This window comes from Homo sapiens, chromosome 15, assembly GCF_000001405.40.
Source record: "Homo sapiens chromosome 15, GRCh38.p14 Primary Assembly".
NCBI classification, from domain to species: Eukaryota; Metazoa; Chordata; class Mammalia; order Primates; family Hominidae; genus Homo; species Homo sapiens.
The window spans coordinates 38,998,024-39,012,104 of NC_000015.10; the positions used below are offsets into that span (position 1 = coordinate 38,998,024).

At 38.3% G+C, this 14,081-nt stretch overlaps 1 long non-coding RNA gene across 3 annotated transcripts in view, besides 1 other annotated feature; it reads right to left on the reverse strand.

The window, feature by feature from the left end:
* The window catches only part of LOC105370777 (uncharacterized), a 556,255-nt gene that overhangs the window by 133,218 nt on the left and 408,956 nt on the right, over positions 1–14,081 (reverse strand). The gene's annotated exons all lie outside the window — the stretch shown is intronic.
* Positions 12,305–13,504: an enhancer, noted in NCBI's record as "P300/CBP strongly-dependent group 1 enhancer chr15:39302529-39303728 (GRCh37/hg19 assembly coordinates)". NCBI's record gives its function as "activates an origin of replication core promoter dependent on BRD2, BRD4, P300/CBP, MED14 and CDK7 cofactors, with strong dependence on P300/CBP, by STARR-seq in HCT116 cells {active_cell/tissue: HCT116}" and the evidence as "EXISTENCE:reporter gene assay evidence [ECO:0000049][PMID:35650434]".

The following is a 14,081-nucleotide window of genomic DNA, read 5'->3' on the forward strand; positions in this document are numbered from 1 at the left end:
ATTAGAAACATATGGATTAAATATCTCAAAGTCACCAGATGTGATGGAGATTTTGACAAACTAAAAGATCACTGAAAGGTATTTGGAAGTGTTTTCATAATCCAAAAACCACCAGGTTGGCCCATCTTTAAAAATGAAGTTATGACCTTGTAAACATTATAATAGTTCTCATGTTTTTATGTTTAATAACACATTCTGTCATCACTGCTCATAACATATAATTATTTGGGTGTAAAACTGAATATGCAGATGTAAAAATGGTAGAAGGGTGTCCAATGGAGTAGTACTTTTCTAACAGACTATCCTAAGATTCCATGGATAATGGTAAATCAAGAAGTCAGTTAGTGTCATACCTGACAGGGTTCTCATTAGCAAAACCAAAATTTACTCTAGTTAGTTTAAACAGAAAAGAACTTTGCCAAAGGAAATTAGGATGCTCACCAGTTTTCTTAGAGAGCCAGAGAACCAAAGTAGGGGCTATACAACTAGGAATGGTACCCAAGCCACACATCAAGGCCTGCTGCAGCCCAGACCTTCCAGATTGCAGTGAAGATGCTGGTGACTACAAGACACAAAGTTTTTCATTCTTTGCATCAAAAGGCTGGTACCTCTTCTGCCTTGCTTACTGAAAGACAGACTCTGCATACTCTCTTTTCACATGAATCAATTACAAAAGACTTTCATGAATGTATCTGATTGGCAGAACTCAATTTACTACATCCCTTGTGATGCACCTAGAAGGTAATCTAGGGGAGAGAGTCTGGCTCTTCTTGGACAAAAGGAATATACAAGGTGGGAATTTCTCCATTAATAGCAATGTTGTGCATAAGATGCTGGATGGCCACAACAAGGAGAATATTCTTTACAATTTATATTTTGTAATAATACAAGATTATAAAGGACACTTCACAATCTTGTTTTGCTATGCAACTAATGATACAGTTATTTTATATATGCTTGTATTTTTCTTCATGGCTATTTTTATTACTTATATTAGAGACTCTCGCTTAGCAGTCCAACACATTTCCTATGTGAAACCCAAGTGAAAATCAGAAAGTAAGAACTCCTAAAAATGGGGGTGATGTGGGTTTAAGCATACCTGAAACATGCATATGATTTACATGACTGTACTTTAGGCATTCTACTCAGAGCCCATTGATGCGTTTTCTTTTGACAATTTATTCTGTGTTATGTTCCCTCACTAGGAGCAAAGTTTCAAGAATAGTTCAATAGACAACCATACACTTTTCACATGGATCAATCTCTCTTGCTTCAAAGAGTCCAGGCCAGTTGTTTATCAGAATATCCCACATTTTGAATTTATATGGTTTCCTCATGACTAGATTTAGAATAAATACATTCGGAGGAAATGTTACATAGATGATGAGGTAGTCTCAGTCATTTCTAAAATAAGGCAAATGATATTAATTGTCCCTTTACTAATAATATTAAGTTAAAACATTTGGTAAGTTGGTAGACTTGAAATGTCTTCTTGGGGTGGAACTAAGATGGCTGAATAGAGGCAGCTCCACTCTGCAGCTCCCACAAAGAAGGACAAAACTGAGTGAACTCTGCATCTTCAATTGAAGTACCAAAGTTCTTTTTATAGGAACTGACTAGGTGGTTGGCGTGACCCACAGAGAGCAAGCAAAAACAGAGTAGAGCAAGACCCCACCTGGGGGCTGCATGCAGCAAAGGCAACTCCCTCCCCCAGCCAAGGGAGACGGTGAGGGATTGTGCTTCCCCTCCCTGAAAACCAGGGCTTTCCCAGGGATCCTTGCAACCTGTGGATTAGGAGGCCCCTCCTGAGCCTACACTACCAGAGCCTTGGGTCCAAAGCACAAGGCTGTGAAGAATCATGGCAGCTGCTCCGGTGGGCTGTTCCTGTGGGTGGCCATTTTGAGCAGGCACTGACACAGGAGTATTTACATACTCCAGCTCTGGGAACTCCCATGAGGCAAGAGATCCATCCACTCTCGTGGGGAGGGGGCTGAAGCCAGGGAGACAGGTAGCATCGCTCCTATGGAACTCCACAAGCTAAAACCCACTGGCTTGGCATCACTGTCTGTCAGCACAGTGGACTACAAACTGCCTAAGAAGACGGAGTTCCCCAGGGAATAGGCGGCCACCATCACTGCGGCTCCAGTCGCCACTTTCCCTTAGATGGGGCAGGACCCGGATCCAGTCCTCCTCGGTGGGCGGGGCCTCCCTGTGGGAATCTCACCATCATCTCCAGCCAGGAGTTTATGGACAGAACACTGATAACCACCAGAGGAAATCCTAGGAGGAGGGGTGGCTGCAGTATCCTGGATCAGTGATCTTAGTCTTTTCTGCCTGCTCCTCTGGAGAGTCAGGGCAGCCCAGACAAGGGGGACTCCCCCCAGCACAGCACACCTGCCCTCCCAAGGGGCAGACAGACTACTTATTTAAGCAGGTCTCTGACCCTGCTCCCCCTGACTGAGACCTCCCAACAGGAGTCTCCAGACACCTCATACAGGAGCATTCCGGCTGGCATCAGGCCAGTACCCCTCTGGGACAGAGCTCCCAGAGGAAGGGGCAGGCTGCCATCTTTGCTGGTCTGCAGCCTCCACTGGTGATATCTTCAGGAACGAGAGACCAGGGTGAATAAGGGCTGGAGTGGACCCCAAGCAAACCACAGCAGCCCTACAGAAGAGGGACCTGACTACTAAAAGAAAAACAGAAAGCAACAATATCCACAAAAAAGAAACCACAAAAACCCCATCCAAAAGTCAGCAGCCTCAAAGATCAAAGGTAGATAAACCCATGAAGGTGAGGAAGAATCAATGCAAAAACACAAAAATGCTGAAAACTCAAAAAGCCAGAGTGCCTCCTCTCCTCTAAAACGTCACAGCACATCTCTAGCAAGGGCACAGAACTGGGCTGAGATGGATGAATTGACAGAAGTAGGCTTCAGAAGATGGGAAATAACAAACTTTGCTGAACTAAAGGATTATGTTCTAACTCACTACAAAGAAGCTAAGAACCATGATAAAACATTACAGGAGCTATTAACCAGAATTATCAGTGTAGAGAGGAAAATAAATGATCTAAAGGAGCTGAAAAACACAACATGAGAATTTCATAATGCAAACACAGGTATCAATAGCCAAATAGACCAAGCAGAAGAAAGGATATCAGAGCTTGAAGACAATCTTGCTGAAATAAGACAGGCAGACAAGATTAGAGAAAAAGGAATGAAAAGGAACAAACAAAACCTTCAAGAACTATGGGATTATGTTACAAGACTGAACCTAAGACTGACAGAGGTACCTGAAAAAGATGAGGAGAACAGAATCAAGTTGGAAAATACACTTCAGGATATCATCCAGGAGAACTTCCCCAACCTAGCAAGACAGGCCAACATTCAAATTCAAGAAATCCAGAGAACCCCAGTAAGATACTCCATGAGAAGATCAACTCCAAGACACATAATTGTCAGATTCTCCAAAGTCAAAATGAAGGAAAAAAAATGTGTGGGGCAGCCAGAGAAAAAGGCCAGGTCACCTAAAAAGGAAAGCCCATCAGAAAAACAACAGATTTCTCAGCAGAAACTTTACAAGCCAGAAGAGATTGGGGACAATTTTCAACAGTCTTAAAGAATTTCCTGAAGATGCTTATCAGCTTAAGGAGATTTTGGGCTGAGACAATGGGGTTTTCTAGATATACAATCATGTCATCTGCAAACAGGGACAATTTGACTTCCTCTTTTCCTAATTGAATACCCTTTATTTCCTTCTCCTGCCTAATTGCCCTGGCCAGAACTTCCAACACTATGTTGAATAGGAGTGGTGAGAGAGGGCATCCCTGTCTTGTGCCAGTTTTCAAAGGGAATGCTTCCAGTTTTTGCCCATTCAGTATGATATTGGCTGTGGGTTTGTCATAGATAGCTCTTATTATTTTGAGATACGTCCCATCAATACCTAATTTATTGAGAGTTTTTAGCATAAAGCGTTGAATTTTGTCAAAGGCCTTTTCTGCATCTACTGAGATAATCATGTGGTTTTTGTCTTTGGTTCTGTTTATATGCTGGATTACATTTATTGATTTGCATATATTGAACCAGCCTTGTATCCCAGGGATGAAGCCCACTTGACCATGGTGGATAAGCTTTTTGGTGTGCTGCTGGATTCAGTTTGCCAGTATTTTATTGAGGATTTTTGCATCAATGTTCATCAAGGAACACCATGGAATACAATGCAGCCATAAAAAATGATGAGTTCATGTCCTTTGCAGGGACATGGATGAAACTGGAAATCATCATTCTCAGTAAACTATCGCAAGGACAAAAAACCAAACACTGCATATTCTCACTCATAGGTGGGAATTGAACAATGAGAACACATGGACACAGGAAGGGGAACATCACACTCTGGGGACTGTTGTGGGGTGGGGGGAGGGGGGAGGGGGGAGGGATAGCATTAGGAGATATACCTAATGCTAAATGACGAGTTAATGGGTGCAGCACACCAGCATGGCACATGTATACATATGTAACTAACCTGCACATTGTGCACATGTACCCTAAAACTTAAAGTATAATAATAATAAAATAAAAAATAATAAAAAAAAATGAAAATGACATGAAATGTGAAATTTCAAAAATAAAAATAAATGTGATATAAATACAAAAAAAAAAGAATTTCCAACCTAGAATTTCATATCTGGCCAAAGTAAATTTCATAAGTGAAAGGGAAATTTTTTTTTCAGACAAGCAAATGCTGAGGGAATTCATCACCACCAGACCTGCCTTGCAAGAGCTCCTGAAGGCAGCACTGAATATGGAAAAGAAAAACTGTTACCAGCCACTACAAAAAACACACTGAAATATACAGACCAGTGACACTATGGGGCAAATACATAAACAAGTCTGCAAAATAACCAACTAGCATCACGATGTCAAGATCAAATTTACACATAACAATGTTAACCTTAGATGTAAATGAACTAAATGCCCCAATTAAAAGACATAGAGTGGCAAACTGGATAAAGAGTCAAAGTCCATCAGTGTGCTGTATTCAAGAGACCCATCTCACATGCAAAGACACACATAGACTCAAAATAAAAGGATTGAGGAAAATTTAGCAAGCAAATGAAAAACAGAAAAAAGCAGGAGTTGCAATTTTAGTTTCTTACAAAATGGACTTAAAAGCAACAAAATAGACTTAAAAGCAACAAAGATCAAAAAAGACAAAGGCATTATATATTGGTAAAAGGGTCAATTCAACAAGAAGAGCTAACTATACTTAATATATATGCACCCAAGACAGGAGCACCCAGATTCATAAAACAAGTCCTTAGAGACCTACAAAAGACTTAGACTCCCACACGATAATACTGGGAGACTTTAACACCCCACTGTCAATATGAGACAGATCATCGAGACAGAAAATATAACAAAGATATTCAGGACTTGAACTCAGCTCTGGATCAAGTGGACCTAATAGATATCTGCAGATCTTTCCACCCCAAAATAATCGAATATACATTTTTCTTGGCACCACAAGGTACTTTAAAATTGATTATATAATTGGAAATAAATCACTCCTCAACAAATGCGAAATAACTGAAATAATAACAGTCTCTCAGACCACAGCACAATCAAATTAGGACTCAAAACCATACAATTACATGGAGATTGAACAACCTGCTCCTAAATGACTCCTGGTTAAATAATGAAATCAAGGCAGAAATCTAGTTATTTGAAACCTGTGAAAACAAAGAGACAATGTACCAGAATGCCTTGGACACAGCTAAAGCAGTGTTAAGACGAAAATTTATACCACTAAATGTCCACATCAAAAAACAAGATCTCAAATTGACACACAGAGCATCACGACTAAAAGAACTAGAGAACCAATAGCAAACAAACCCCAAAGCTAGCAGAAGACAAGAAATAACCAAGATCAGAGTGGAACTGAAGGAGATAGAGACAGGAAAAACCCTTCAAAAAAATCAATGAATCAATGAAAAAATAAAATAGACCACTAGCTAGACTAATAAAGAAGAAAATAGAGAAGAATCAAATAGATAATTTAAAAAATGATAAAGGGGATATCACCACTGACCTCACAGAAATACAATAATCAGAGAATACTATAAACAGCTCTATGCAAATAAATTAGAAAGTCTAGTAAAAATGGACAAATTCCTGGACACATCCACCCTCCCAAGACTGAACCAGGAAGAAGCTGAATCCCTAAATAGACCAATAACAAGTTCTGAAATTGTGGCAGTAACAAATAGCCTACCAACCAAAAAAAGACCAGGACCTGATGGATTTACAGCTGAACTCTACCAGAAATACAAAGAGAGGCTGATACCATTTCTACTGAAACTATTACAAACACTTGAAAAGGAGGGACTCCTCCCTAACTCATTCTATGAGGCCAGCATCATCCTGATACCAAAACCTGGCAGAGATACAACAAAAAAAGAAAACTTCAGGCCCATATCACTGATGAACATCAATGCAAAAATTCTCAATACTGGCAAACTGAATCCAGCAGCACATCAAAAAGCTTATTGACCATAGTTAAGTTGGCTTCATTCCAGGGATGCAAGGCTAGTTCAACATATGCAAATCAATAAACGTAAAAGGCCTTCAGTAAAATTCAGCATTCCTTCATGTTAAAAACTCTCAATAAACTAGGTATTGAAGGAACATACCTAAAATACTAGCCATTTATGACAAACCCACAGCCAATATCATATTGAATGGGAAAAAGCTGGAAGCATTCTCCTTGAAAACTGGCACAAGACAAGGATGCCCTCTCATGACTCCTATTCAACATAGCAGTGGGAGTTCTGGCCAGGGCAATCAGGCAAGAGAAAGAAATAAACGGTATTCAAATAGGAAGGGAAAAAGTCAAATTGTTTTTGTTTGCAGATGACATGATCCTATATCTAGAAAACCCCTCTGTCTCAGCACAATAGCTTCTTAAACTGATAAGCAATTTCAGCAAAGTCTCAGGATACAAAATCAATGTGCAGAAGTAACAAGCATTCCTATACACCAACAAGAGGCAAGCAGAGAGCCAAATCATGAATGAAATCCCATTTACAATTGCTACAAAGAGAATAAAATACCTAGGAACACAGCTAACAAGGGAAGTGATCAACCTGACCTCTTCAAGGAAAACTACAAACCACTGCTCAAGGAAACCAGAGAGGACACAAACAAATGAAAAATATTCCATGCTCATAAATAGGAATAATTAATATGAAAATAGCCATATTGCCCAAAGTAATTTATAGATTCAGTGCTATTACCACTAAACTACCATTGGCATTCTTCACAGAATTAGAAAAAAACCAATGTTTTTTTTTTTTTTGAGACGGAGTCTCGCTCTGTCGCCCAGGCTGGAGTGGTGCAGTGGCGGGATCTCGGCTCACTGCAAGCTCCGCCTCCCGGGTTCACGCCATTCTCCTGCCTCAGCCTCCCAAGTAGCTGGGACTACAGGCGCCCGCCACTACGCCCGGCTAATTTTTTTTTTTTTTTTTTTTTGTATTTTTAGTAGAGACGGGGTTTCACCATTTTAGCCGGGATGGTCTCGATCTCCTGACCTCATGATCCGCCCGCCTCGGCCTCCCAAAGTGCTGGGATTACAGGCGTGAGCCACCGCACCCGGCCGAAAAAAACCAATGTTTTAAAACTCATATGGAACCAAAAAAAGCCCATGTAACCAAGACAATCTTAAGCAAAAAGACAAAGCTGGAGGCATCACACTACCAGACTTTTTGTTATAAGGCTACAATAACCAAAACAGCATGGTACTGGTACAAAAACATACACAGACCAATGGAACAGAATACAGAACTCAGAAATAAGATTGCCTGTCTACAACCATCTGATCTTTGACAAACCAGAGAAAAGCAATGGGGAAAGAATTCCCTATTTAATAAATGGTGCTGGGAGAACTGGCTATTCATTTGCAGAAAATTGAAACTGGACCCCTTCCTCACACTTTATACAAAAATTAACTCAAGGTGGATTAAAGGCTGAAATGTAAAACCCAAACCTATAAAAACCCTAGAAGAAAATCTAGGCAATACTATTCAGGACATTGGCACAGGCAAAGATTTCATGATGAAATTGCCAAAAGCAATTGCAACAAAAGCAAAAATTGAGAAATGAGGTCTAATTAAACTAAAGAGCTTCTGCACAGAAAAAAAAAACTGATCAGAGTGAACAGGCAACCTACAGAGTGGGAGAAAATTTTTACAATCTATCCATCCAACAAAGGTCTAATATCCAGAATCTTCAAGGAACTCAAATTTACAAGAAAAAAAAACATTAAAAAGTGGGCAAATGACATGAACAGACACTTCTCAAAAGAAGACATTTATGCGGCCAGCAAACATGAAGAAAAGCTCAACATCACTGATCATTAGAGAAATACAAATCAAAACCACAATGAGATGCCATCTCATACCAGTCACAATGGCCAGTATTAAAAAGTCAAGAAACACCAGATGCTGGCAAGTTTGCGGAGAAGTAGGAACACTTTTACACTGTTGATGGGAATGTACATTATTTCAGCTATTGTGGAGGACACTGTGGTGATTCCTCAATGATCTAAAACCAGAAATACCATTTGACCCAGCAATCCCATACTGGATGTGTACCCAAAGAAATGTAAATCATTCTGTTCCAAAGATACATGAACATGTATGTTCCTTGCAGCACTATTCACAATAGCACAGACATGGAATCAACCCAAATGCCCATCAGCAATAGACTAGATAAAGAAAATGTGGTAGATATATGCCATGGAATACTATGCAGCCATAAAAAGGAATGAGATATGTCCTTTGCAGGGACATTGATGCAGCTGGAAGCCATTATCCTCAGCAAATGAATGCAGGAACAGGAAACCAAACACCACATGTTCTCACTTATAAGTAGGAGCTGAACAATGAGGACACAGGGAGAGGAGCAATACACACTGGGACCTGTCAGGGGGTGGGGTGGGGTCAGGGAGGGAGAACATTAGGAAAAATAGCTAATGCATGCTGAGCATAATACCTAGGTGATGGGTTGATAGGTGCAGCAAACCATCATGGCATACATTTACCTATGTAACAAACCTGCACATCCTGCACATATGCCCTGGAACTAAAAATAAAAATTTAAAAAAATTTCTTCCTTATATTTCCTGCTATGTAATTGATAACTGATAATCTGAGACTGAGTGGATATCCTGTTTCTTGACAATCTTTTAACCAATGATTTTAGCATCCATTGATGATTCTTTACATAATCGATTATGACTACAATAATTGGAAAATGAAGATTTTCATATTCTAGCTTACACATGATTAGTTGGCACTGTTCTATAAATAAGGGTTTTCTTTCCCATTTCTTATATCCACTCATTCATTTGTACATTTGTTCTTATTTATTGGATAAGTATCAACTTATGAATTCACCTTTTTTTCAATATGTTATATTACTGAAAGATTTCAATTTTCTGCTCAAAATTATCTAAATTTGGTCAGTGAAAAGCTCCTTTAAGCTGATTCCTGTGTCATTTTGACATAGCCCCATCAGATTTTGAGCACTCCTTTAATTTTTGCCACAACACCAAAACTTTGTGTTCAAAAATACTGCCAGCTTTTCTTGCTCTAATCCTAGAATTAGCATTTCTCCAAGAATCATTAGTTCCTTTTAGAAAAAAATGAAATAGTGTTTAGATGTCAGGACCTAAATACTAGCTATGCTTCTTTCTAACGGATATCACTACCTTTAGTCCCTTGCAGTTGACAGAGCTGGGAAATAACTACATCTACCGCTATATCTAATTTATCTACATCTATGTGTCTATATTTTCTATAATCCAATCAAACACTGACGAACTTTTCCTTTTCTACTGTGATTCTATATTTTTAACTTTCTTTTCCCACAGTAAGAACTCATTCTTTTGTTCAATCTTTTTATGCAAATAAAATTGTTTTAGAATCATTTTAGAAATTCAGAGAAACTCATTACGTATAACTTATAGCATTATGCTAAATTTCTACGTGTTCCTGGGACTATTTAGGGACTTTTAATTTTGTTCTATTTGGTCTGTCTTTCATGTGCCAGTGACATTATTTTAAGTGTAGAAGTGTTGTAGTGAATTTCAAACTACTAAATTATATATAAATGTTAATATTTAATTAGTAATTATACTTAAATGTTTTAAATATTATTTAAATATCTAAAGATTTTAAAATAAATTTAAAAGTATTAAAAAGAAAAATTTGTTCAAGTCTACTTGCATCCTTCACAGGTGTGTGTTTTCATGGTTTCCTCAGAAAGGTTTGTCTTTCCTAAGTACTTTCTGTTTTTATTGATGTTGTAAGTAGGGGGTTGCCTTCCATTTTACCTCCCAACTGGTTATTGTTTGTAAGTGTGATTTTTTATGTTGGTTACATTTTCTGTTACTTTACTATTTTTCTTGAGTTTTTATCATTTTCTTGAATTGTACACATACTCTATCATATGATCTGAAAATAGAGGTAATTTTGTTTATTTCTCTGTCGTCTTTTGCCAAATCACATTGGTAAGTACCTCTCTTATTATGTTGAATAGTAGTGGATAGTGGTCATCCTTGTCTTGTTTCTGATTTTAGTGGAAAGTTTCCAGTATTTCCCCATTAAGTAAGTGAGATGCTGAGTTGAGGACTAATCATGTTAAGGAAGAATTTCTTATTGCTTCCTTTTCCACAAATGTTGACAAAAGTGGTCGAAAGAATACTCTAATCATGTTAATGCTTACTTAGCATGATTAGAGAATTCTTTCAGCCACTTTGTCAATATCTGTGGAAATTATTACATATTTCTCCTCTTTGTATCTATTAATATGCTGAATTAAAGAATTTCATAACACTCAATTATCATTGGATTCTTAGAATAAATCCTACTTGGTCGTAATGTATTATTTTCTTAATATAATGTTGAATTCTCTTTACTAATGTGTTTTCTAATTTTAGTGGCTGTTTCACTGATAATTTTTGTATACATATTCATGAATAATAGATATTAAAAGTTTAGTTATCGAGATTAAACCTAATTTATAAAAAAAATAATTTGGAAATAGCTTGCCATTTTTCTCCCTCCAAAAAATTCATCTTGCATCTAGTATTTGCAGGTTTGATAAACAAGCAGATAATAAGCCTGATCACTTGTTTTCTGATTCCACAGCAGGTTAGAAATATCAAATTATAGATTGAGAAGCTATTACAGGTAGGCTTATTGACTAAAGTGACAGGTGACTCAATAAACGAAAGTGTTAGTTTACTTAATGTGGGAGAAAAATCACACTATACCCATCCATGGGCCCATCCTTATCTTATAAAATAATGCCAAAATAAACAATTGCCATGTGTTTTTATGAAAAATATAAATGTATACTGTATGTTTGGAAGTGTCAGTTTCAAATGGTTACAATTAAAATATCTCAGTATTTTAAAAGATATATTCCTAACAGTCTGGAAAACATACCTATTTAGAGTAAGGGTTCACCAAGGTTGACACATCATAGAGCAAGCGGAGATAATCAATGTGCATGCTGTTACCAGTGGAGCTGATTATATGGACTAGTAAAGTACAGAGAGGGAAAGTTGCACAGTGGGAAAAGCATTGGCTCATATTTTTGTTGTGTATATTCTTCTTCATTAATTACTTCATTATTATTCTTCCATCTGGCATCCTTTCTTTTTGCCTGAAGAAGACCCTTTATTATTTCCTTTAGGCCTATTTCACTAATGATAGATTATCTCAGGTTTCATTTGTCCAGCAAGGTTATATTGCCTTCCTTTTTAAAGCATGTATTCAATGGGGATAGAAGTGTATTCTACGCTGGTGATTATTTTCTTTCAACACTTTGAAGAAATTCTCCCATTGCTTACTGACTCCCATCTTTTCTATTAGTAAGTTGGCTGTCAGACTTAAATTGTTCTGTTTTGAATGCTCTTATTTTGTATTATATACTTATGTAATGTTTCCTTTATATAATTTTTACCTGCTTGATATTTGTAAAGCTACCTAAATTTGTTGCTTGGTATCTTTCATTGCTTGGAAAATTATTAGTGATTATCTCTTCAAACATTGCCCTATTTTTAAATCCGTTCTCCTTTTCAAACTCCAATTACCCTGTGTCTCCCATGTTTATCATAGTATTTTCTGCATTTTACACTTCTCCCCTTCTTTCCATGTATCAGCATAGGCAGAATAATTTAGTTTCTCTAGAGAAGAGTGTCACAACCCAGGGTTAAATGGAGGAATTATATCCTGAAAGTCACTACCTCTGTTGCATCATTCTTGGTTGAGTGACTATCTCAGACTTGCACCCTCAAAGCCAGCCTTGACTCATCTCTTACCCAGGGTCCCTCACATGTGATCATTCTCCATTTCCTGATTTCATTACTACACAAACTTTCCTACCTTATTTTTTGATCCTGATTCTTATTTTCTCTTGTCTGTACTATGTTAATAGCCTTAAATCTTGTATTTTCATCCATACTGCCTTACTAATTCTAATATATAACTGCTATGTCATTCTATAGGCAAATTGATTTTAAGTCAGAAATAATTACTTATGCTTTTTAAAGACATAAGTTCATACCAAGCCAATAATTCAAAGTTGTTATTCTATTCCATACCCAACTCCTCTCAACACATCCCAGGTTTTAGCTAAACTGAATGTTTTGCTTCTTAAGCATACTTTCTGCTTTCCCTGTATTTATTCTGCTTCTTCTCTCTGGGCTGCCATGGGTTAATTTTACCTATTACTTCACTGCCCAGAAACCTTTCTTGACTTCTTACAGCTTAATGAATCCCAGCTCTCCAGTCAGGTTCTCCAGAGCACTCCAGCATAACTACTTAGCCCTTTGTCCTTTTATTTTCCTACATGTCCCCTACATCACCTGAATGCTTCTACCTCTCATCATCTGTGCACCTATTTTAATGACAGTCTTTTTCCTGGAATGCTTTTCTACCACATTTGTTGTAGGAAAGAGAGTTTCTGGGGTGCCAGATGAGTTGGTCTCCCCTGTGTGAGACACCCATGGGAAGCCATGGGCAGCCTCCAAGGAGAAAAGTCTCCTTATTGCCTTCACGTCTTTATGCCCTGAGAGCATAACCACTCAGCAGCATTCCACAGGTTGTTCAGGGAGATAACACTCCTTTGAAGCAGTGGAGTATAATCAAACATCTTGGCTCCTCCTGAAACATCCTCCCACCAGTTTCAGTCCTGGTAAGTTAAAGATCTTAAGTAGTTTAGACACACGCCTTTGCTCAAGGAAATTCACAGACACCGCCACTGCTATACATCTTATCAAATGACTCATGAGTTCTCCTTCACTGATTAATCCTTTTCTTCATCCCTTCCTCACCCTTCCATCTGCCCTAAGAACAAAGAGCTTGTAAACCAATAAATTGGGTGGAGCCCAAGAGCTCTGGGCCATGACCAGGACTCCAACACTCCGGTCCCCTGGACCCACCTTTTAAATGCTTATTCTGTCTCTTCCTAACTCCTCTGTCTCTGCTGGACTCGGGGTACCCACTGGGTGGTGTGGGGCTGGTTTCCCCAACATTTGTCTACTAAAATTATATTCACTTCTAAGGTCCACTTCAAATCTTTCTCTCTCTCTTCCCCCGCCCCCCACCCCCCACCACCTGCCAACAGCATTTTTACTGAAACCCAACTAGTTATAACTCATCATGAACGTTATTAAATGTTCCTGGTACTTCCTCTGCATCAAATGTTTATGGTACCATGTTGCACTCAGTTATTTCAGTATTTAAAATTAGGGTTGCCAAAAAGTAACAATAGGTTAACATTTCTGAGGTTTATTTTTCTCTCAGGTAAAAATCTAGAAGTAGTCAGGGCAGGACTAGATACGGCAGCTTAGTTTCTCAGAGCTCTCAGAGATTAGAATTCCTTGCATCCATGGCTCTCATCCTCATATCAGATGATAAGGTGTAAGATGGCAGCTAGAGCTCTGATCACTATGCACAAATGTTAGGCAGCAGAATGGGGGAAGATATAACAAAATAAGGTGACAAGAATGCAATCC